Here is a 1415-nt window from a genome sequence, read left to right on the forward strand (position 1 = left end):
TTGGTTTGAATTTCAATTTCACTGTGATTAGAAGCTGCTCTCCAGCATTTATAAGTTGAGGAATGTGGGTTTTCAAAAGTTTCACTGAAGATGGAGTTTCTTTTTTTGTTTGTTTGTTTTTTGTTTGTTTTTTGGTCATTTGTGGTTGGTTTCAGTAAGTAAAATGTGGTAGATATGCCTTTTTCTCAACTGAAGGAGATCCTTACCCTTATCTCAATAATGGTTGCCATATATTGGATGGTTACTGTAACACAGCATCACACCAGATACTTTGTAAATATTACCTTATTTAACCTTTGAATCAACAGGGAAAAAACACAGAAAATATTCTTTCAGGCAGGTATTTTTATCGTCATTTTATAGATGGGAAAAACTGAAGTTCAAAGAAATTGCATACTTTACTTTCAAGCATCTTGTAAGCCAAAAGGCACAATTAGTGGTAGACAGCTGTCTGAGCATGAGCCTAAAAAATTCAATAAAGAGCTTCAACAGTCACAGGTATCTGAACAGGAATCTAGATGCAAGATCTTCCTTCAGCCAGCTGTAGCAGCAGCAGGGGCCATGGTTTAATGGTTACCTCTCAAGAGCAATTACTAGGAGCCTATTTTGGTGACAGGAAATGGAAACTTAGAGTTCTGAAGTTTATAAATAAGCACTGTACTATTTACAACACAGAAAGATAAAAATTAAAGGTTCTTGGAGGGCGTATTTAAACAGGCAGTGTGGAATTAACCACAGTAATCTCATGATCACTGAGTGGGCTTGGAGTAGCTCTCGGGCTCTGTCAGTCAGTTTGGAGAGTGGGCAGAGCCTCTCAGGAGCTCCTGGAGGGATGAGCAGAATTTTGTATGCTGACAAGCAGGATGCTGTGGCCACAAAGTGTACTATGGTAAAGGGGGAGAGAGAGTTGATACAGATGAAGAGAAAGTGTTGGCAGTGAAAACAAATCTGGGCAAAAAGAAGCTTTAATTTCTTAAATGTTAATATTGGATTTTCCTGAGGGAAAGTCTTACAGGCAATGTTCTGTCACGATGGAGAGGTGAAGGAGCACGGGCATTGTTACCAGAAAAACTCAGGGCTCTGCCACTCACCAGCTAGGTGACCCTGAGAAAATTATTAAACTCGAGCTTAAGTGTCTTCATCCTAAAAATGGGGACCACGATGCCCACCTCACTAGGATGGTGTGAAAAATCACAGGAGATAACTCAATATATTCAAAACCTTTGTCTGCATGACACCAAAATCTCTTGCTTTTTCAAAGTTCTATTCACTTTCTGCACTTCAGCCTTTCTACCAGTTGTCTTTACTTGTGGTAATGCATGCTTATTAAAAATCCCTGGGTGACTGCCTATGTATTTAACAGCTCTATTGATGTACAATATTTAATGATAGTATTCACTCGTTTTATCACCATC

The 1415-nt window shown here is 38.9% G+C and overlaps 1 annotated feature.

Annotated features, from left to right (window-relative positions):
• Window positions 510–709: an enhancer, noted in NCBI's record as "active region_1892". NCBI's record gives its function as "activates an Ori minimal core promoter by ATAC-STARR-seq in GM12878 lymphoblastoid cells {active_cell/tissue: GM12878}" and the evidence as "EXISTENCE:reporter gene assay evidence [ECO:0000049][PMID:35858748]".

Source organism: Homo sapiens, chromosome 1 (assembly GCF_000001405.40).
Source record: "Homo sapiens chromosome 1, GRCh38.p14 Primary Assembly".
NCBI classification, from domain to species: Eukaryota; Metazoa; Chordata; class Mammalia; order Primates; family Hominidae; genus Homo; species Homo sapiens.